Here is a 22606-nt window from a genome sequence, read left to right on the forward strand (position 1 = left end):
AAAAAGGAGCATTAACCTTGACTGTGCCTTTAACTTGAGCCACCTTTTTAAGAGGAAATTGTTGGGCAGGTGGAGGAGGGCTAGTCGCAGAATGAAACTGTAAGCCCGACCAGGTGTGAGGAGGGGAGGTGATAAAAGGATTATAGGGTCGGGGAGCAGAGGCTGAGGAAGAATTGGGACCTGGCTTGGCCTGGCGAGGAGCAGCCTGGGGAGGAGAGGAGGGGTCAGATGGGTCCGTAGAAAAGGAAGATTGGAAAGACTCAGCAACGCTTGGAGTTGGGACTGAGGGGACAGGCGGGAGGGAAAGAAGCAAGATTTGGGACGAGTTGCATTGGGAACAGAGACTAGGGAGGATCCGATGTGTAAAAGAATGCCTGGACGTCAGGCACCTCAGACCATTTGCCTAGTTTACGACAAGAATTATTTAGATCTTCTAGGATGGAAAAATCGAAAGTGCCGTTTTCTGGCTATTTGGAACCACTGTCGAGTTTGTATTGGGGTCAAGTGGCATTGCAGAAGAAAATAAGGCATTTAGGTTTTAGGTCAGGTGTGAGTTGTAGAGGTTTTAAGTTCTTGAGAACACAGGCTAAGGGAGAAGAAGGAGGAATGGAGGGTGGAAGGTTGCCTATAGTGAAGGAGGCAAGTCCAGAGAAAAGAGAGGGTAGAGACATGGAGAGAAGGAGTGGGGGGTGCTTGCTCCCCAGGAAAGTGGAAAGAAAAGAGAGGGTAGAGACATGGAGAGAAGAGGTGGGGGGTGCTTGCCCCCCAGGAAAGTGGAGAAGGGGTGGGGACATGGAGAGAAGGGGTGGGGGGTGCTTGCCCCCCAGGAAAGTGGAAAAGGGGTGGGTAGAGACACGGAGAGAAGGGGTGGGGGGTGCTTGCCCCCCAGGAAAGTGGAGACAGGGTGGGAGGTGCTTGTCCCCCAGGAAAGTGGAAAAGGGGTGGGAGGTGCTTGCCCCCCCAGGAAAGTGGAAAAGGGGTGGGAGGTGCTTGCCCCCCCAGGAAAGTGGAAAAGGGGTGGGAGGTGCTTGCCCCCCCAGGAAAGTGGAAAAGGGGTGGGAGGTGCTTGTCCCCCAGGAAAGTGGAAAAGAGGTGGGTAGAGACATGGAGAGAAGGGGTGGGTGAGCAGCCAAAGCAGGCATCCCCGCAATTGATTTGCCACCAAGGGAATGTGGGTGAATGACCAAGGCAGGCATCCCCACGGTGATCAGACACCAATGAAATGTAGGTGAATAATCAGGCAGGCATCCCCGTGTGATTAAACACCAAGGGAAGACCGTCTTCCCGAGTCCGTGACCGGTGCCAGAGTTTTGGGTCCACAGATAAAATGTGTCTCCTTTGTCTCTACCAGAAAAGGAAAGGAACTGAAATTAAGAGAAGGGAGAGATTGAAGTGTGGTGCCAAGATTGAAAGGAGAAAGAGGTTGAGGGATAGTGAGAGAGGTTGGAGAAGAGAGTAAAAAGAGGCTGCTTACCTGATTTAAAATTGGTGAGAAGTTCCTTGGGCTGGTTGGTCTGAGGACCAGAGGTCGTAGGTGGATCTTTCTCATGGAGCAAAGAGCAGGAGGACAGGGGATTGATCTCCCAAGGGAGGTCCCCCCGATCCGAGTCACGGCACCAAATTTCATGCGCATCCGTGTGAAGAGACCACCAAACAGGCTTTGTGTGAGCAATAAAGCTTTTTATTTCACCTGGGTGCAGGGGGGCTGAGTCTGAAAAGAGAGTCAGTGAAGGGAGATAGGGGTGGGGCCATTTTATAGGATTTAGGTAGGTAAAGGAAAATTACAGTCAAAGGGGGTTGTTCTCTGGCGGGTGGGGGCGGGGGTCACAAGGTGCTCAGTGGGGGAGCTTTTGAGCCAGGATGAGCCAGGAGAAGGAATTTCACAAGGTAATGTCATCAGTTAAGGCAGGAACAGGCCATTTTCACTTCTTTTGTGATTCTTCAGTTACTTCAGGCCATCTGGATGTATATGTGCAGGTCACAGGGGATATGATGGCTTAGCTTGGGCTCAGAGGCCTGACAACCCATTAGTGGTAATATCACCCCTCTTAGGAATGCATAAAATACCATCATAAAGACAAAAGCTTGAACCCCATTCCTGCCCCTCACTTCATGTATGATAGTGGAATCTTTTTTCAGCCTTTGTCAGCCTGCCCTTGGTCATCTGTAAAAGGGAACTCACAGTGCCTTCCTTAGGAAACTGTTCTGTGGGGTAAGTTAGAAATTTGTATAGAGTAGATGGCACCTAGTAGGACTTCAACAGATGGTCATCCTGGCCCAACTTTCTCCTCCCTTCCAAAGAAGTGATGACAGCTACCTAAACCAAACAATATGACTGACATAGAGACCACCAGAAAATGGAGCAGGAAGTAGAATGTACTCACAATTGCATTATGAATGAAGCTTTGGAGCCATTTCTCTGTTACAGGAAGACTTTGCTGAGGGATATGGGGAGAGGGAAGAATATTGCCAAACCATTTCTTTAATTTTGCATTATTTTCTGTTCCCTTATTTGATCTTCCAGATTGATATTGGAAAAGCCATTTCCTATTGAGCCCAAAATGAAGAGAGTGCAAATAAAGAGAAGGCAGGGATCACAAGCCCTTGACAGACACATTGCCACCTACAGGACCCTGCACCCAGATTTCATCTGCACAATCAGCTTCTTCAAAGAGAGAGAGGCTGTTGAGTTAGTACCCATGAGGGCACAATACTAGAAATGTGTAAAACTATAAGTTTTTAAGTCCTAGAAAGTCATCATCTGTAAATGAGACTTTTGGGTATGCTTTGGGGAGGTTAAGCGGTAGAATCCCATTTCTGCTCCATATTAGATGAATCTGAAAAAATTGATTTTCCATCAGTGAGTTTGATTTTGTCATCTGTAAATTGAGAATAATTATGCCTTCCTCACAGAGTCATTGTGAGAAAATTATGCAAAAATGTAATTGTTTGTACATGTTTATCTATATATGTGTCATAAAAAAATGTGCCCTTTTGCACTTTTTTTCTCTTAAAATAGTGTTTCTGAGATATCTGTAAATAAGACAACTTTGAGGCTATTTTGATATTTTTAGCCATGCTGCTGTGACCATTCTTACACAAGAGCCGGAGACTCTCTGCAGTTCAGAGCTAAGAGCATAGTACCTGATGGGGAACTCACTTGATTTTCTCAAAAATGTTGCCAAGTATCTCCACAAAGAAGTTGCACACATTTCTCCTCTCCTGGAAGAGTAATGGAGTTTTCATGGCCCCACATTGTCCATATAAAGAGGGTTCAGCATAAACACAAAATCACCAATTGAGCTTTATTTTTAAACTTTAGAATTATTCCAGAATATTATATGAGTTATAAAGTGGGATCATTATATTTGTATTTAGAAATGTACATGTGAAATATGCTGCCATGGTTAGAATGTTTGCCCCCTCCAAAATGCATGTTGAAATTTGATTGATTGCCATTGTGACTTTATTAGGAGATGGTGTTACCAGTGGGAGGTTCTTGGTTCTCAGGGTAACAGGAATTAACATGAGGCCAGGCAAACTTTTCCCAGGCAATGTTTATTAAGACTTATGCCCAGAAACACTGGGCATAAGGGAGATGGCACAGGAAAAAGAGTCCTCCAGCTGGCTCCCCAAGGGGAGCTTCTCAGCGTTTTTTATTGGGTAGGGTACAGAGATTGACATCAGGAACCTCTGCCTCCTGGAGTGATTTCTTCCTTCCTGTTATGGTGTCTGTGCATGCTTGGTCCTGGTTGAAGTCTTGGTCCATGCTCAGTGGGTTCAAGATAGTGGTGTTGCTCACTACTGCTGGCCCAGGAAGGTCATATAGTGGCCATTCTGGGGTTTCCTGTGCATGTGGATGTTAGGGTCAACTGCCTTGGGGAAGATTTATGGTTGGAGTGTTGCATATCTTAACTTCTTTAAGGTCCTGTTATCAGCAGGTATGGTGCCTTGAGTAAGATTTATAGTGCAAAGTCTGGATGGTCTAGTAGGGGTCCCTGCTGGCCACAGGGCCCCATATCAGCTTGCATTAGAGGTCCTTGGTGGAACCCAGGGGACCTCAGGCTGTGGACGTGCTGATGTGGGTGCCCTTGGCTAGGCTGAAGTTGGCAGGTGTGGACTGAAGCTGCTGCCTGCTATCGCCAGTGCCCTTGCTGTATCCAGCAGTGCCTGGCCAGCCAACCAGCAGCAGTAACACAAGGTCCTGAGGGCGACTCATGCATAGTGCATTACCAGTGCAGAGCTGTGCACAACACTGTCATCTTCCTGGCTCCAGGCTGCATCCCAATGCTCCAGGGACAGGGTGTGTAGTGAGCTCACGACAACATGTGTGGTGGGAACCCAGCAAGTCTGGAAAACAAAAATGCATTTGTGAGGGTGAGGGCTATAAACCAAAAATAAAATTCAAATGCCCTCCACACAACCATCCGAATGGACTTCCTGTTCTGCCAGGGAGGGCACTCTAAAATTTAACTTGAAGGACTGGTTCAGGTCATCACGGGAAGTGGTGGTTGGACATGCCTCATTATACCCCTCCAGCATTAATATCAACACAAACGTTAAGTCTGATATGAAACATTTATAGTCTATTCTCTCTAAAGCCTGCTACTTGGAGGCTTCATCTGCATGATAAAACCTAGTGGCTCACACCTGTAATCCCAGCACTTTGGGAGGCTGAGGCGGGTGGATCATGAGATCAGGACTTTGAGACTGGCCTGGCCAACATAGTGAAAACGCGTCTCTACTAAAAATACAAAAATCTAGCCGGGCGTGGTGGTGGGCGCCTGTAATCCCAGCTACTTGGGAGGCTGAGGCAGGAGAATCGCTTGAACCCGGGAGGTGGAGGTTGCAGTGAGCCGAGATTGCGCCATTGCACTCCAGCCCGGGACAGTGCGAGACTCGGTCCCAAAAAACAAACAAACAACAACAACAACAAAAACCTAGGTCTCTGCAACTCCTTATCGTAACCCAGACATTCTTCCTCTACCTATGATCTGGAAGCCCACATCCCCAACCCCCACCCCCACCCCCCACTTTGAGTTGCTCCACCCTTCCAGATTGAACCAATGTAAACCTTACATGTATTGATTGATGTATTATGTCTCCCTAAAATGTACAAAAGCGAGCTGTACCCCGACCACTTTGGGCACATGTCATCACGACCTCCTGAGGCTGTGTCATGGGCACATCCTTAACTTTGGCAAAATAAACTTTCTAAATTGATTGAGACTTGTCTCAGATAATTTTTGGTTTAAAGAGGCAAGTCTCATCCCTACTGTGTCTCAGTGGGACTGTCAATGAAAAAAGTCAAACTCGGTACAATATTTGAAGAGATTTATTCTGAGCCAAATATGAGTGACCAGTGGCTTATGATACAGCCGAGGGATATTCTGGGAAAATATGCCCAAGTGGTCAGGCTACAGCTTGTTTTTGTTTTGTTTTGTTTTTTGAGACAGACTCTTGCTCTGTTGCCCAGGTGGGAGTGCAGCAGCATGATCTCAGCTCACTGCAACCTCCACCTCCTGGTTTAAGCAATTCTGTCTCAGCCTCCTGAGTAGCTGGGACTACAGGTGTGTGGCACTACACCCAGCTAATTTTTGTATTTTTAGTAGAGACTGGGTTTTGCCATGTTGCTGGGCTGGTCTCGAATTCCTGACCTCGGATGATCCACTCCCCCGCCACTCGGCCTCCGATACAGCTTGATTTTATACATTTTAGGGTGACATAAGTTATCAATAAATATATATAAGATGTACATTGGTTTGGTCAGGAAAGGCAGGACAACTGGAAGCCAGGGAGGGGGCTTCCAGGTCATAAGCGGTTTTAAAGATTTTCTGATTGGCAATTGGTTGAAAGAGTTATTATCTAAAGACCTGGAATCAATAGGAATGTCTGGGTTAGGGCAAGGGGTTGTGGAGACCAAGGTTTTATCATGCAGATGCAGCCTCCAGGGAGAGGCTTCAGAGCTCTTATCAGACCTAAAAAGGTGCCAGACTCTTCGTTAATTCTCTGCTGGATCAGAGGAAAGACCTGGAAAGGATAGGGAATTCTCTACAGAATGTAGATTTTCACCAGAAGGGACAACTTTGCAGGGCCATTTCAAAATATGTCAAGGAGATATGTTTTGTGGTAAAGTACTTTGATTCCATTCAGGGCCTGCTATCTTGTGATGCTATACTAGAGCCAGTCTGGAATTTGGTGTCTTATTTGGTGTCTTTATTGCTACAAAGTCTTGTTTTGTCAGTCTTAAGATCTCTTTTAATGTTAATGCTGGTTAGTTGTGCCTGAATTCCAAAGACAGAATAGTATAATGAGGCATGTCTGACCACCCATTCCTGCCATGGCATGAACTAGACTTTCAGATTTACTTTGGAATGCCCTTGGCCAAGAGGGGAGGTCTATTAGTCTGTTGGGGGCTTAGAATTTTACTTGTGGTTTACAGAACCTTTGAGAAGTGTTTGGGCTGTGAAGGCTCTACCTTCATGAATGGATTGTCATTATTACAGAAGGTGGTTCATTATTGCAGGAGTGAATCTGTTATAAAAGGGTACATTCAGGTCTCTTTTGCCTCTTGCCCTCTGCCCTGTGATGATACACCAAGAAGGCCCTCACCAGATGCTGGTCCCTCAATCTTTGATTTCTCATCCTCCGTAACTGTGAGCCAATAAAATTCTGTTAATTAGAAATTACCCAGTCCCAGGTATTGTCTTATAGCAGCAAAAACAGACTAAGACAGGAAATTGGTGTCAAGAAGCCTGGCTGTTGCTATAAAAAATACCTGAAAACGTAGATGCAACTTTGGAACTGGATAATGGGTGGAGGCTGGAAAATTTTGGAGGAGCAGGGTAAAAAAGCCTAGATTTCCATAAATGGAACAATTCAGGTGAGGGCTCAAAGAAGAGAACTGTAGGGAAAGTCTGAAGCTTCTTAGAGATTACTTAAGTGGTAATTGCTGGGTGAGGTGTCAGAGCCCCAGCATCAGAAAGTGGTTGACTTGCAGGTTGGTAAGAATTTACTGACAACAGTATAGGTTTGAAAAAGGAAAGTTTTATTAGAAAAAAAGTATGTTGCAGAAGAAATGCAGCATTTACGGACCTTAAAGTGGGAGCTTAAGTGTAATTTGGACCATATTAGCCATGTAGGTCATAATAAGTGATTACATTTGTAGACATTTTGGTTCCTTAATGTCAGCAAGGGTTGTACAATGAGTTTTGACATGCATGGATTCCAGAGATGTACAGAAATTCTAGTTACTTAGAAAATTTTTGAAAGAGGCCTGGAACCTTTAGGCACTAGGGAAGTTTAATTACTTCTAAATTCCTCAGATAAGGAATTTTGCCTCAGAATGGCCTGTTTGATGGTTGCCAGGTGTTTTTGGCTTTCTTCGTTACACTTCTAAATTCCTCAGATAAGGAGTTTGTGTCTCCAGGGCTTACTCGATGGCCACCTGGTGATTTTGCTCTCCTGACTTTCCCCCTGACAAATATTTTGGTAAAATCTTTGACCCTCTAGTAATGATCAGAATGTTCATAGAAATATGGACAGTAAAGGCCATTCTGATGAGGTCTCACATATAAATGAGGAACAAAGTATTATAAACTGGAGGAAAGGCCATCTTCATTATAAAGTGGCAAAGAACTTGGCTGAATTGTTTCCAAGCCCACACAAGGGCTTTGTGGACGGCATAGTTGAAAAGCAGTGAGCTAGGAAATCGGTGAAAGAAACATCTAAACAAAAAAACGTTCCATATGTTGTGTGTCTTCCTTCAACTGCATACAGTAAAATGCTAGAGAAAAAAATGATTTAAAGATGGAATTTATAATTAAAAGGGAGCCAGGCACGGTAGCTCACGCCTGTAATCCCAGCAATTTGGGAGGCCAAGGCAGGTGGATCACTGGAGATTAGGGGTTCGAGACTAGCCTGGCCAACATGGCGAAACCCCATCTCTATTAAAACTACAAAAATTAGCCAGGTGAGGTGGCACATGCCTGTAATCCCCGCTACTCAGGAGGCTGAGGCAGGAGAATCGCTTGAACCCAGGAGGCGGAGGTTGCAGTGAGCCAAGAGCACACCACTGCACACCACCGTGGGCAATAGAGTGACTTCATCTCAAAAAAAAAAAAAAAAAAGTGGCGGTGGGGTGGGGAACAAAACTTAGAGATTTAAAGGATTCTCAGCCTAGTCAGGTGGTAGAGAATCAAAGAGCACTTTCAGGAGAGGAAACCAAGGATGTTTCCAAGTGACCGTTTCATAAGGAGATTGGTGTGGATAGAAGGAAGCCAGGGGCTATTCATCAGAACAATGGGAGAATGAACCCAAAGTCACTTCAGAGATTACCAGTGCCACCCTTCCCATCACAGGCTCTGAGTGCCAAGACCTGGGTGAAGGAAATATGTCAAAAAGAGAGGCTGAGGACGACCTTAGAACCTTTGGACTCACGTCCCAGGGCTGCTTCAATTTTCTGCTCCCCATATTCCAGTGCAGCATTTCTTGACTACCCCAGTCATGGCTCAAATGGGCCAAGGTGCAGCTCGACCTGCCACACTGGAAGGTACAAGTCATAAACTGTGGTGGAATCCACATGATGCTAACTCTGCAGGTGTGCCGTATGCAAGAGCTGTATGGGCACGTCTTCCTCTACCTAGATTTCAAAAGATGTTTCAGAAGCCTTGGTGGACAAGCAGAGACTTGTTGCAGAGGTGGAGCAAAAGCAGAGAGCCCTCACTAGGGCAATGCCCAGTGGAAACTCAGCTTTGATGTGGAAGTTCTGCTGGGCATTTCCTTAGTCAGGGCTCTCTCCAGTCAGAACTGTGGGGTCAGAGCCACTGCAGAGAGTCCCCACTGGGACAATGCCTCGTAGAATTTTGGGAGTGGACTGCCTGAGAGACCCCAGAATTGTAGGGCTACTACTGTGCAACACCAGCCTAAGAGAGCTGCAGGCATGAGACTCCAACCTATGAGAATTGCTGTGTGGGCTAAGCCCAGAAAAGACATAGGGGCAGAGCTGCCTAAGGCCTTGGGGGCCCAATTTCACCTCAGTGTGTCCAGGAGATGGGACATGAGGTCAAGGAAGCTTATTCTAGAGCATTAAAATTTAATGTTGTTCACCCTGTTGAATTTTGGACTTACGTGGGACCCTCTTTTCTTGTCTATTTCTCCTTTTTGGAATGGGAGTGTCTATCCATTGCCTGTTCCACCACTGTATTTTAAAATACATAACTTGTTTTGATTTCACAGGCTCACATCTGGAGAGGAATTTGCCTCAGCATGAATCATGCCTTCCGTTGAGTTAAATAAGACTCTGGACTTAGGCCTTTTTAGTTGATGTTGGAACGAGTTAAGACTTGTGGGGCTATTGGGATGGAATGAACGTATTTTGTATGTGAAAAGGACATAAGTTTTGAGGGGCCATTGATGAGATGCTGTGGTTTAAATGTTTGTCCCCGCCAAAACTCGTGTTGAAATTTGATTGCCATTGTTACAGTATGGTTGAGTATAACTTTTTCAAAATGCTTGGGATTAGAAGTGTTTTAGCTTTCAGATTTTTAAATATTTGCATTATACTTACCAGTTGAGCATCCCAAATCAAAAAATTCAAAATCTGAAATGCTCCAGTGAGTATTTCTGCAGGTTATATTTGCACTCAACTGCTTCTGATATTGGAGGATTTCAGATTTCATATTTTCAGATTTGAGATGCTCAATCTGTATTAAGATGTGAGATAATTAAGAGGTGATTAGTTAGCTAGGCATGGTGCTGTGTGCCTGTGTTCCCATCTGCTTGGGAGGCTGAGAGAGAATCACTTGAAATTTGAGGATACAGTGAACTATGATTGCAGCCTGGGTGAGAGAGTGAGGCCCTGTCTCTTTAAAAAACAAAAAAAAAAAAGAGAAAGAAAAAGAAAAAAAAAAAAAGAAGTGATTGGGCCATGAGGGTTCTGCCTTCATGAATGGATTAATGCCATTATCACAGGAGTGGATTTCTTATCACAGGAGTAGTTTTGTTATACAAGGGCAAGTTTGGCCCCCTTTCACTCTCTCATTTGCCCTCTTGCCTTCCACCTTGTGATGACACAGCAAGAAAGCCCTCACAAGATGCTGACATCTTGATCTTGAACTCCCCGGCCTCCAGAACTGTGACCCAATACATTTCTGTTCATTATAAATTACCTAGTCTCAGGTATTTTGTTACAGCAGTGCAAACGAACTAAGGCATATGCCATTCATAAAGAAATAAGATAGGGAAAAGTGAAAAGTAATAATGTTGTGAAATACATTATTTGCACAGACCTAGTAAAACAGGTACTTTCATCCTGTATTTTGTTGGGAGACATTAGTATAAAAGATTTTAAAATTTAATCAGGCTAGCTTTTAATGTTCATGCTCTTTGACAAAGCAATGTTCCTATGGCAACTTATCATCCAGATACAGCCTGAAGAGGCCATAGCCATCATCACTTACATGTCCCAGCTACTTCAGACTGGCCATTTTTCTAGCTGGCTTGTTGCCTTCAGCCCCCTGCCGCCCACCCTGCTTCATCCATTCTTCCATCCAAGCAAGAAAATCTGTCTCATGGCTGGATCCACCTCAAGCATTGATATAGAGCAGTACTCATGTTCTTCTACCTCTTGGTTCAAACTAGAAAATCTACCATGACAAGATGCTACAAAACACGTACTCCTAACCACAATAGACAGCCATGGAGCTACTTCAAGCATTGATATGGAACAGTGCTCAGGTCTCTACTCCTGGAGGGCCTTGTAGACATCCAATCTCATCCCTGCCTGAAGAAGTCTCCCACCTGTCCCCTTTCTGTGTCCTCAAAGGCACAGGCAGGTGAGGGGCCTTTGCTTCTGCTTCTGGCCCTGCCATAAACCTCCCTTCAGACAAGGGGAGGGGGCACAAAGGCTGGCTTCCTCCTGTAGAAAGGGTAAACACAGGGAGAACAGAGATAAACCTCACAGCAGCACGTATCCTGATAAATTTGCTAAAGATCCCTCACTAGCAATTCAAGGTACCTAGGCTGGTAGGTTCTGTCCCTGGCTCTGGCAGTGGACCTGGTGACCAACCTCTTTACCATCTAGCTCTGTGGTTAGCAGTATCTGTTTTGTAGTCACATACATCCATGAAGAGAGGATATTGATACCTCACTAGCAGGGCTGTCATGAGATTAAATCCAGATGCTAACATGAAGAACCTGGAGCTAGGACCCTCTGAACAACCTGCTCCATAAGTAGAAGCTGTGTTTCTTCCCTGGAACAGGGAACTCATGTGACAACTTGACCTGCCCTCTCAGCCAGGGCCCCTAATCAGGATGCAAATCAGAGTCACATTGATGAGCCTTTTGTAAACCCTCAGCTGAAACTCTCTTGTTGGTGGTAATAGGACTTCTGTACAAAGGCCATTGAAGTCATTAAATCATAATAATATGGCCATAGAACCAGATATGTCCATTTGATGCCAACAGTGTATGTGAGTGCCCATTTCCTCTTTACTTTTCTGACTAGCTTTTATTGTTATTTCCAGGGTTTTTCGTTTGTTTTATTCCCAGATTTTGTGTTAGTTTTTCATCTGATCATCCCATTTTCCCCAGTTCTGCCCCATTGGAAGTATTATCTCAGATGGTTTTTAACTTACAAATTCAGAGGCTTATCCCATAGGATGGTCAGATTTAGCAAATGAAAACACAAGATGCCCATTTAAGTTTGAATTAAAAAAAAAACAAAATTATATTATGTGTCACATATACTAAAAAGTACTAGTTATTTTTCTGGATTTCAAAGTTAATGAGTCTTTTGTATTTCATCTGGCAATCCTATACATGGTGTTGCAATATAGGGTAGGACCAAGGTGCTCTGGTCTGGTCAACAGCCCCATGTGAACTCTCAGCAGGTGCCAGCACCAGTCATCATCCATGCAAGTGATCTCTTTTGGATGTACCAAACGAGTGAAGCCTCCAGATGATTAAGGTGACAGCACAGGGAGAGGCAGCCCTGGGTGGCAGACACCATATAGAACAGAATAACACCCAAATGAGCCTGTCAATACTCAGAATCTTGAGAGATAATAAATGGCTAATGTTTGGGATGCTTTATTAAGCAGAAATGGTTATCCGTGGTTTGGGTGTACTCTTCCTCCTTTTCTGCAGTCTGTTATCATTGGATAATATAGGGATTCTATTATCCATGAAGACTTGGTGGGACTTTGTTATAATTTTCACCATAGTCTGCATGTGGGTTTATGTATGGGTATCAGTTTCTGAAAATTTCCTCAATTCCTTCTCAAATGGATTTTCAAAGGAATTTTCATGATATATTATTTTACCCCACTCTTGGAATGTGGAACCTACTTCTAATTCCCCTCCATGAAATGAGGCTTCACTGCAGTTACACAGGTTAAAAAATTGAGAGGCTGCTGCTACGAATGGCTCCATGAGCCACATGAAAAACCATATTCTTACAAGGTTGCTAGGTGAGTATTTAATCAGAACAAGGGGTATTTATTCACTTTGAGAAGTGTTTCTCAAAAAAGTGTCCTGAAACTATTTTATCTGCTATAGGGATAACCTTGCAAGGAAGCTACTTTCCTTCAGCACACATAGACAGGACTCTACCAGATAGCAATGTACACTGCAGTGTTTGACTTTCTTGACTGTCCCCACACAGCACCACTTAGTGGATAAGTCTGTCCAACTCTGGGGTTCATTAAGAAGAAATGTCTTCTCAGCAGATCTGAGGTACTTTTTCCAATTTCACCTTTATAAAGAATAGAGTCAATGTATTGCTTTCTTTATCATTTTTGCATATTTTTTAGTTGGCTTAGAGCTCAGACTTGTACAAGGGGTATATTTTGGGAACCCCTTTAAGTCCCAAGCATTTTGGAGTAAGAACATAGTAATAGTTGGGGTGCCAGCAAAAAGAGGAAAGGGGAGAAGAGCTGCAGGCCCACTGTTAGACCTATCCCCCAACCCCCAAGGGACATAGCAGAACATATGCTGGCTAACTGCTTATTACTACCAAGAATTTTGAAGGGAGAGAGCCTGGGCTGTGCAACCCCTGGTTCTCCTTTGAAGTACTAATCACATAAGTGATTTTTGCCATAGAGAAGGAGTGAGTGCACAGAGAGTGTATAGAGAAGCTAGAACTGTTTTTGTCATGGATGTGCCTCCATATAGGAGAAAATACCAGGAACAGAGGATAAAAATTTCCCAGGGTATCCCAATATATGACTCAATTGAATGAGTTTCTGCCAGCTAAATAAGTATAATATTCTAGCCCTGCTTCCCTGAAATAACTTTAAGATTCCTTACATGACTTTTTTTTTTTTAATCTTCCTAGGTTATTCAGTCACATGATTATGGACAGTCTCTTAGTTTTCTGCCATGGATAGCTAATTGCTTCATGGTATGTGTTTTACACATCACCCTCAGAGGGCTAGTTCGTCTCAAAGAGCCTTAGGATACCTCCCTCGGTCTCTGTGTAGTGATGGTACTTCCCTACTGTCACTTTTAAAGCAAGCAAAACTCCTGACAATGGGGAGATGCTTTGTTTCACCAAACTGGGAAGAATTCCACAAATCACCCTTGTATGGGGTTAATTCCTCTAATTCTTAATATTTCTCAGGTGGTGGCCTGAAGACTGAAGGTGTTTTGCTTTCAGGAAAAGGCAAGAGCCAGAAGGGAGGGCTGTGTGGAGGCATTTCTGGTATGCAGGACTAGCCTGAGCATGGTGGTTGCCATAGAAACCTGAAATCATTATGGCAACCATGACAACTTTTTATTGTTTTTTTCTTTTTTATTTTTTTTTAAAATTTCAATAGTTTTTGTGGCACAGGTGTTTTTTTGGTTACATGGATGAGTTATTTAGTGGTGGCTTCTGAGATTTTGGTGTACCTGTCATCTCAGCAGTATATACGGTACCCAATATATTGTCTTTTATCCCTCACTACTCTCACAATATCCCCCTCCCCGTGTCCCCACAGTCCATTATATCACTCTATATGTTTTTGCATCTTCATAGCTTAGCTCTCACTTATAAGTGAGAACATATGGTATTTGGTTTTCCATTCCTGAGTTATTTCACTTAGAATAATGGCCTCCAGTTCCATCCAAGTTGCTGCAAAAGACATTATTTCATTCCTTTTTATGGCTGAATAGTATTCCGTGGTGTATATATATGCCACATTTTCTTTATCCACTCTTTGGTTGATGGGCACTTTGGTTGGGTTCTATATCCTTGTAATTGCGAATTGTGCTGCTATGGACATGCATTTGCATGTGTTTTTTTCATATACTTACTTCTTTTCCTTTGGGTAGATAGTAGTGGGATTGCTAGATCTACTTTTAGTTCCTTAAGGAATCTCCATACTGTTTTCAATAGTGGTTGCACTAATTTGCATTCCCAGCAGCAGTGTAAAAGTGCTCCATTTTCACCACATCCATGCCAACATCTATTGTTTTTTGACTTTTTAATTATGGCCATTCTTGCAGGCATAAGGTGGTATCTCATTGTGGTTTTAATTGGCATTTCCCTGATGATTAGTGATATTGAGCATTTTTTCATATATTTGTTGGCTGTTTGTATATCTTCTTTTGAGAAATGTCTATTCATGTCCTTTGCCTACTTTTTGATGGGATTATTTGTTTTTTCTTGCTGATTTGAGTTTCTTGTATATTCTGGATACTAGTCCTTTGTTGGATGCATAGTTTGAGGGTATTTTCTCCCACTCTGTGGGTTGTCTGTTTACTCTGCTGAATTTTTTTTTAGCTGTGCAGAAACTTTTTGATTAGGTCCCATTTATTTATTTTTGTTTTTGTTGCATTTGCTTTTGGGGTCTTAGTTACAAATTCTCTGCCTAAGCCAATGTCCACGAGAGTTTATCTGATGTTATCTTCTAGAATTTGTATGGTTTCAGGTCTTAGATTTAAGTGTTTGATGCATCTTAAATTGACTTCTGTATAACGTGAGAGATGGGGATCCAGTTTCATTCTTCTACAAGTGGCTAGCCAGTTTTCCCAGCACCATTTATTGAATAGGGGTCCTTTCCTCAATTTATGTTTTAGTATGCTTTGTCAAAGATCAGTTCGCTATAAGTATTTGGCTTTATTTTCTGGGTTATCCATTCTTTTCCATTAGTTTGAGTGCCTATTTTTATACCAGTGCCATGCTGTTTTGGTAACTATAGCCTTGTAATATAATTTGATGTCTGGTAATGTGATGCCTCCAGATTTGTTCTTTCTGCTTAGAATTACTTTGACTATGTGGGCTGGGCAGGTTTTTGTTTGTTTGTTTGAGATGGAGTCTCACTCTGTTGCCCAGGCTGGAGTGCAATGGCACAATCTCCACTCACCACAACCTCCACCTCCCAGGTTCAAGTAATTCTCTTGCCTCAGCCTCCCAAGTAGCTGGGATTACAGGTGCCCACCACCAGGCCCAGCTAATTTTTGTATTTTAGTAGAGATGGGTTTCACCGTGTTGGCCAGGCTGGTCTCGAACTCCTGACCTCAGGTGATCCACCCACCTTGGCCTCCCAACGTGCTGGAATTACAGGCATGAGCCACTGTACCCAGCTTATATGGGCTGTTTTACGGTTGCATATGAATTTTAGGATTTTTTCTAGTTCTGTGAAAAATGTTGATATTTTGATGGGAATTGCATTGAATCTGTAGATTGCTTTGGGCAGTATGGTCATTTTCACAATATTAATTCTTCCCATCCGTGAGCATGGGATGTGTTTCCATTTGTTTGTGTCACGTATGATTTCTTTCAGCAGTGTTTTGTAGCTTTCCTCGTAGCGATCTTTCACCTCCTTGGTTAAGTATACTCCTAGGTTTATTTTTTTGTTTTCTTTTTTTTGCAGCTGTTGTAAAAAGGATTGAGTTCTTGATTGATTCCCAGCTTGGTCATTGGTGTATAGCAGTGCTACTGATTTGTTTACATTCATTTTGTAACCTGAGACTTTACTGAATTCGTGTATCAGATCTAGGAGCCTTTTGGGTAAGTCTTTTGGGTTTTTTAGGTATATGATCATATCATTGGTGAATAGCAACAGTTTGACTTCCTCCCCTCTCTTGTCTGATTGCTCTGGCTAGGATTTCCAGTACTACGTTGAATAGAAGTGGTGAAAGTGGGCATCCTTGAGTTATGACTTTTTTTTTTTTTTTTTGAGATGGAGTCTCACTCTGTCGCCTGGGCTGGAGTGCAGTGGTACGATCTCGGCTCACTACAACCTCCACCTCCCAGGTTCAAGAAATTCTAGTGCCTCAGCCTCCCTGAGTAGCTGGGATTACAGGTGCCCACCACAACGCCTGGCTAATTTTTCTATTTTTAGTAGAGATGGGGTTTAACCATGTTGGCCAGGGTGGTCTCAAATTCCTGACCTCAAGTGATCCGCCCGCCTTGGCCTCCCAAAGTGCTGGGGAGTGACAACTTTTTAATATAGACCAACATAGCCTGGCAAGAAAAGCAAGGTCCTGCCTTCAGGTGTTTAGGACTCAGCTGAGGGTGTGGGTGCTCTGTGGTTGGGGACTGAACCTCCCTAGGGTGTGGGGGACAAAGGGATGCCAGATCCAAGTTGCCTCGTTCCCACTTTGGAACAAGTTGCCTTAGCAGTCTCATGAGAAAGCTGGGACCCTCCTGGCCCCAGTGAGTGTGGTGTCCTGCTCGAGGTGTCCTGGGGCTACTTTCCTTGTAAAGGTGGAACACAGGAGGACGAGAGAGGTAAAGACTCGCTGAACCCAGCTTCCCCCTCTGTAGAATGGGGAGAAGAATGCTCACCTACAGGATTGCTGGAACCTGCAGTGATACACATGCAAGATGATAGATAGCCCTGTGGTTATTACTGGATGATGGGTGCTTGTATGGATTCAAGCAATTTCCTATTTCTTTTTAAATTTGTTATGAGACAGACAAAGAAAGATGAAAAGGCCCCAGTGAGAAAGCCATTATACTTCCTGGTTGTTGTGATCACTACCCAATTGTATCAGTGCCACTGGTCACTAACCTAGTACCCAGCATGGCGCCAGGCTTATAGTTGCTCCAGTAAAGCACAGTGATTGCTAGATTCTCTCTTTCTCTTTGCAGTTCTTCATCGGGTAATTGAGCTGATATCAGGTGTCTGAAGGAGGCAAGTTTTGAAGATGTGGGTCATGATGGCTGCTGAAGCTTCCACTCCATATTTGAAGGTCAGCAGTTCTCAGGAAACCTCTAGCACTTCCATCCCTGGTGGGATGTGATGCCTGTCTCAGGTGAGCTCACAGATGTGAACGGAAGCATGTTGTAGAAAAGCACTTGTGAGGTTCACAAAATAATCTAAAAGTAGAGAAGCTATTTTGATATCACCTTTGGAGAAGAGGTTTATCAGGTAGACTCTTACTTGGTAGTGAGGCTTTTATACATTCTATGGTAAAATTTTGTAGTAGCCAATAATTTTTGAAGTGTTAGTTTAAAATGCCCATTTAAAAATTTGTTATTTTAATAAATGACAATTACACTAGAATTTATCCTATTATAATGATACATAACCATGTTGTCTAAAATAGCCAGGTATTCTTAAATACCACTTTATTTTACCAAGTTATTACATTTTAGTTTTGAACTTCAGAAGGAAATGCACATCAACTTTCTCTACATATTTAGATGCACCTCATTTCAAATGATTATTTCTGTTGTGGACATATATAGTGTGAACGACTTGATAAGACATAGTGTCCATCTGCTAATGTGACAAGGTCATGTTAGTGGGAATTGTTCTCCTGATTAATTCAGTATCATCAAATCTCAGAAAAATACAAGTATATTTCAGATGCTTTATTGAGGTATGTTTGATATGAAATATACTAAGTATATTTAAAGCCTTTACTTTAGTAAGCTTTGGCATATGTATGCACCAATGAAACCAACACCATAGTCAAAGTAATGAACATATCCATCACCCCAAAAAGCATTTTCCTGCCCCTTTGTAATCATCCCACCTACCTGTCTCCCTCCAGCTTCCATGTCCCTCCTATCTCTCTCCATTTCCAGGCAACCACTGCTCTTCTGTCATTGTAGATTGATTTACATTTCCTATAATTTTATGTAAATGGCATCATACAATATGTATTTTTTTGGTCTGGCTTCTTACATTCAGCCTATTAACTTTTTGATTTATCTTTATTGTTGCATGATTGAATAATTCCTTTTTAAAATTGCTAAGTAGTATATGGATATACCACAATTTGTTTTATCCATTCACTTTTTCATGGACAGTAGGTAGTTTTCAGTTTGGGGTTCTTCTAAATAAAGCTGCCATAACCATTTGTGTAAATGTCTTTATATGTACACATGCTTTCTTTCTCTAGGGTAAATACTAGGAGTCCAATGGCTGGATCATGTGGTAGATGTGAGATTAACATTGTAAGAAACTGCCAAACTGTTTTCCAAAGTGGTAGTACCATTCCTTATTCATTCCCATCAGCAGTATATGAGAATTCCATTCTCCACAACCTTGCCAAAGCTTGGTATGGTCAGTCTTTTTTACTTTAGCCATTCTCATGGGTGCATAGTAATATCTCATTAGAGTTTTAATTTACTTTTTTTTTTCAAGACATTGTCTTGCTCTGTCACCCAGGCTGGAGTGCAGTGGCATAATCTCAGCTCACTGCAACCTCTGCCTCCTGGGTTCAAGCAATTCTCCTGCCTCAGCCTCCTGAATAGTTGGGATTACAGGCACCCACCACTGCACCTGGCTCATTTTTGTATTTTTAGTAGAGGCAAGGTTTCACCATGTTGGCCAGGCTGGTCTCAAACTCCTGACCTCGTGATCTGCCCACCTCGGCCTCCCAAAGTGCTGGGATTACAGGCATGAGCCACTGCACCTGGCCTACATTTTCTTAATGACTATTATTGTTAAACATCTTTTCATGTGATTACTTGCCATTTGTATATATTCTTTGGTAAAGTTTCTGTTTCTATTATTTTCCCATTTATTTATTGGAGTGTCTGTTTACTTTTTACTTTTAAATGATTTTATATATTCTGGATATAAATTCTTTGTCAGTTATACGATTCTTCAAATACTTTTTCCCAGTCATTGACTTATCTTTTCATTCTCTCAACAGTGGCTTTTAGAAGAGCAGAAATTTTTAACCTTGAGGAAGTGCCATTTATAATTTTTTTATTTAGGGTTAAGATGTTTTTATTGATGTCCTATCTAAAAAATGTTTACCTACTCACAGTCACAAGGATTTACTCCTGTCTTTTCTTGTAGGAGTTTATACATTTGGATTTTATAGTTAGGTCTCATATTCAGTTTGAGTTGATTTTGTATATGTTGTGATATATGGATTACAGTTTATTTTTGTGTATGTATATGGATATCTACTTATTACAGAACCATTCGTTGAAAAGACTATTTACTTTTCCACTGAATAGTCTTTACATCATTGTCAAAAATCAGTTGTCCGTGTGTGCATAGGTTTACTTCTGGATTCCTTATTCTGTCCTTTTGATCTACTTTTCCCCTTCAATGGCAATAGCACACTGTCTTGATTACTGTAGGTTTATAATGAGTTTTGAAATTAGGTAGTGTTTGTCCTATACCTTTGTTCCATTTTACAGTTGTTTTTCACAGTTTAGGTGTTCTGTATTTGTATATGATTTTAATATCCACTTGCCAATTTCTTTGAAAAATGTATAGAACATTTATTGGGATTGCACTGAATCTGTATATTAGTTTGTGGGGAATAAACGTCTTAACAATACTGACTCTTCTGACTCATGAACACAGTATGTCCTTTACTTCTTTGGGTCTTCCTTCTCTCAGCAATGTTTTGTAGTATTCAATGTACAAATGTTCCATATCTACGAACAGATAATTCATAAATATTTCATACTTATTGATGCTGCTGTCAATGGTATTATTTCTTAAATAGAATTCTTAATCATTACATTTTCATGGAACCACCAGCAACCAGATTATTAATAATGACTATTGAAGAATCTTGGTAAAAAGCACAGGCTACTCTAGGATGGAAAAGGTATTTGATGCTTAATGTGCATGTACATGTATTTCTATATCAGCTTTTAGAAATCATTGGCAATACACTGAAACTAGGGATAAAAATGTACCCCTGACAGTTCTACAGGTAATCTCCAGAAAAATCAATGACTAAAATAATATAGGTTAGTAGCTTTCAACTTTATGTTTCTGCTATATTTGAATATGTTAAAATGTGAGGTTGTACTTTTTTGTCCCCAGTAAACCCACCTTAAAAAATTCCTGGGATCTTGGATGGTGAGAGAGCACTGGGGAGAGGCAATGCATCTATATGAGTATTTGTGAATGTATCAATTTGTGTGTTGCTGAAGCTGCCAGGAATGTGTATTATGAGATGTTGAGACAAATTACTATGTATTACGTCAGTGTTATTCATTTCCTAGCACATGTTGGTAACAAGATATAGGGGGTTGTTTGTTTTTTCCCAGTGTTCCTTGGCTAGCCTGGTTACCATGGTGACTCCATGACTCTTATGGGATTTAGTGTAGAGTGAGTGTCCATTTATGATTTTTGCCTGAGTCACTTATTTCGATGATAGTTGTGAAGTGTTGTTTTTAAAATTCTGATATTCCTTTCAAAACTATGAGTTGGCATTTAGAAAAGGGCAGAGTTTTCTCTTCTTATTTATCTGTGTATGTATGTATGTATATCAGTGTGACTCAGAGATTCTCATTTTTCTGAAAGGATTACCCTGTGCTATTATTATTATTATAAATTTCGATGCTCAAATTGTCCCAGAATTGGCCAGTGGAAGGACCTTGAAGTTGGCTTCAGTGTCCAATTAACACCTCCCTAAAATTCCTTGAGCATGTACTTTGCTCTCTGAACCTGACTATATCCCCATCTGTAGAAAGGAAGTAATGATGTCTACCTTAGAGCATGGCTTTGAGCATTTGAAGAGAAAAAGTCTGAAGATAACAACCCATATCGTGTTGCATCTAGTAGGCCTTCAACAAATGTAAGTTCCCCACTCCAACTTTGCCTCCTTCATTCTGTCAGTGCGATGCCTCTGACATTAAAATTCACATCATGAATACCAAAGAGAATACTTGGAAATGTGACAGGAAGCAGGCGTAAGTCTACATTTCTTTTTTTTTTTTTTTTTTTTATACTTTAAGTTTTAGGGTACATGTGCACAATGTGCAGGTTTGTTACATATGTATACATGTGCCATGTTGGTGTGCTGCACCCATTAACTCGTCATTTAGCATTAGGTATATCTCCTAAAGCTATCCCTCCCACCTCCCCCCACCCCACAACAGTCTCCGGTGTGTGATGTTCCCCTTCCTGTGTCCATGTGTTATCATTGTTCAATTCCCACCTATGAGTGAGAACATGTGGTGTTTGGTTTTTTGTCCTTGTGATAGTTTGCTGAGAATGATGGTTTCCAGCTTCATCCATGTCCCTACAAAGGACATGAACTCATCATTTTTTATGGCTGCATAGTATTCCATGGTGTATATGTGCCACATTTTCTTAATCCAGTCTATCATTGTTGGACATTTGGCTTGGTTCCAAGTCTTCGCTATTGTGAATAGTGCCGCAATAAACATACGTGTGCATGTGTCTTTATAGCAGCATGATTTATAATCCTTTGGGTATATACCCAGTAATGGGATGGCTGGGTCAAATGGTATTTCTAGTTCTAGATCCCTGAGGAATCGCCACACCGTCTTCCACAATGGTTGAACTAGTTTACAGTCCCACCAACAGTGTAAAAGTGTTCCTATTTCTCCACATCCTCTCCAGCACCTGTTGTTTCCTGACTTTTTAATGATCGCCATTCTAACTGGTATGAGATGGTATCTCATTGCGGTTTTGATTTGCATTTCTCTGATGGCCAGTGATGATGAGCATTTTTTCATGTGTTTTTTGGCTGCATAAATGTCTTCTTTTGAGAAGTGTCTATTCATATCCTTCGTCTACTTTTTGATGGGGTTGTTTGTTTTTTTCGTGTAAATTCATTTGAGTTCATTGTAGATTCTGGATATTAGCCCTTTGTCAGATGAATAGCTTGCAAAAATTTTCTCCCATTCTGTAGGTTGCCTGTTCACTGTGATGGTGGTTTCTTTTGCTGTGCAGAAGCTCTTTAGTTTAATTAGATCCCATTTGTCAATTTTGGCTTTTGTTGCCATTGCTTTTGGTGTTTTAGACATGAAGTCCTTGCCCATGCCTATGTCCTGAATGGTATTGCTTAGGTTTTCTTCTAGGGTTTTTATGGTTTTAGGTCTAACATGTAAGTCTTTAATCCATCTTGAATTAATTTTTGTATAAGGTGTAAGGAAGGGATCCAGTTTCAGCTTTCTACATATGGCTAGCCAGTTTTCCCAGCACCATTTATTAAACAGGGAATCCTTTCCCCGTTGCTTGTTTTTGTCGGGTTTGTCAAAGATCAGATAGTTGTAGATATGTGACATTATTTCTGAGGGCTCTGTTCTGTTCCATTGGTCTATATCTCTGTTTTGGTACCAGTACCATGCTGTTTTGGTTACTGTAGCCTTGTAGTATAGTTTGAAGTCAGGTAGCGTGATGCCTCCAGCTTTGTTCTTTTGGCTTAGGATTGACTTGGC

The 22606-nt window shown here is 42.0% G+C and overlaps 1 long non-coding RNA gene across 7 annotated transcripts in view, besides 4 other annotated features; it reads left to right on the top strand.

The window, feature by feature from the left end:
* Positions 1 to 22606, top strand: part of LL0XNC01-250H12.3 (uncharacterized) — a 113164-nt gene that overhangs the window by 28637 nt on the left and 61921 nt on the right. For all 7 annotated transcript variants that reach the window (NR_188439.1, NR_188440.1, NR_188433.1 and 4 more), the window contains exon 3: positions 17081 to 17244. This is a non-coding gene — a long non-coding RNA (uncharacterized LL0XNC01-250H12.3). The remainder of the gene's footprint in view (positions 1 to 17080; positions 17245 to 22606) is intronic.
* Positions 1637 to 2138: an enhancer, noted in NCBI's record as "NANOG-H3K27ac hESC enhancer chrX:102689981-102690482 (GRCh37/hg19 assembly coordinates)". NCBI's record gives its function as "activates a minimal SCP1, AML or CMV promoter by ChIP-STARR-seq in naive H9 embryonic stem cells {active_cell/tissue: H9 hESC(naive)}" and the evidence as "EXISTENCE:reporter gene assay evidence [ECO:0000049][PMID:30033119]".
* Positions 2139 to 2638: an enhancer, noted in NCBI's record as "NANOG-H3K27ac hESC enhancer chrX:102690483-102690982 (GRCh37/hg19 assembly coordinates)". NCBI's record gives its function as "activates a minimal SCP1, AML or CMV promoter by ChIP-STARR-seq in naive H9 embryonic stem cells {active_cell/tissue: H9 hESC(naive)}" and the evidence as "EXISTENCE:reporter gene assay evidence [ECO:0000049][PMID:30033119]".
* Positions 7021 to 7706: an enhancer, noted in NCBI's record as "OCT4-NANOG-H3K27ac hESC enhancer chrX:102695365-102696050 (GRCh37/hg19 assembly coordinates)". NCBI's record gives its function as "activates a minimal SCP1, AML or CMV promoter by ChIP-STARR-seq in naive H9 embryonic stem cells {active_cell/tissue: H9 hESC(naive)}" and the evidence as "EXISTENCE:reporter gene assay evidence [ECO:0000049][PMID:30033119]".
* Positions 7707 to 8393: an enhancer, noted in NCBI's record as "H3K27ac hESC enhancer chrX:102696051-102696737 (GRCh37/hg19 assembly coordinates)". NCBI's record gives its function as "activates a minimal SCP1, AML or CMV promoter by ChIP-STARR-seq in primed H9 embryonic stem cells {active_cell/tissue: H9 hESC(primed)}" and the evidence as "EXISTENCE:reporter gene assay evidence [ECO:0000049][PMID:30033119]".

The sequence above is a fragment of the Homo sapiens genome, chromosome X, assembly GCF_000001405.40.
Source record: "Homo sapiens chromosome X, GRCh38.p14 Primary Assembly".
In the NCBI taxonomy this organism is placed as follows: Eukaryota; Metazoa; Chordata; class Mammalia; order Primates; family Hominidae; genus Homo; species Homo sapiens.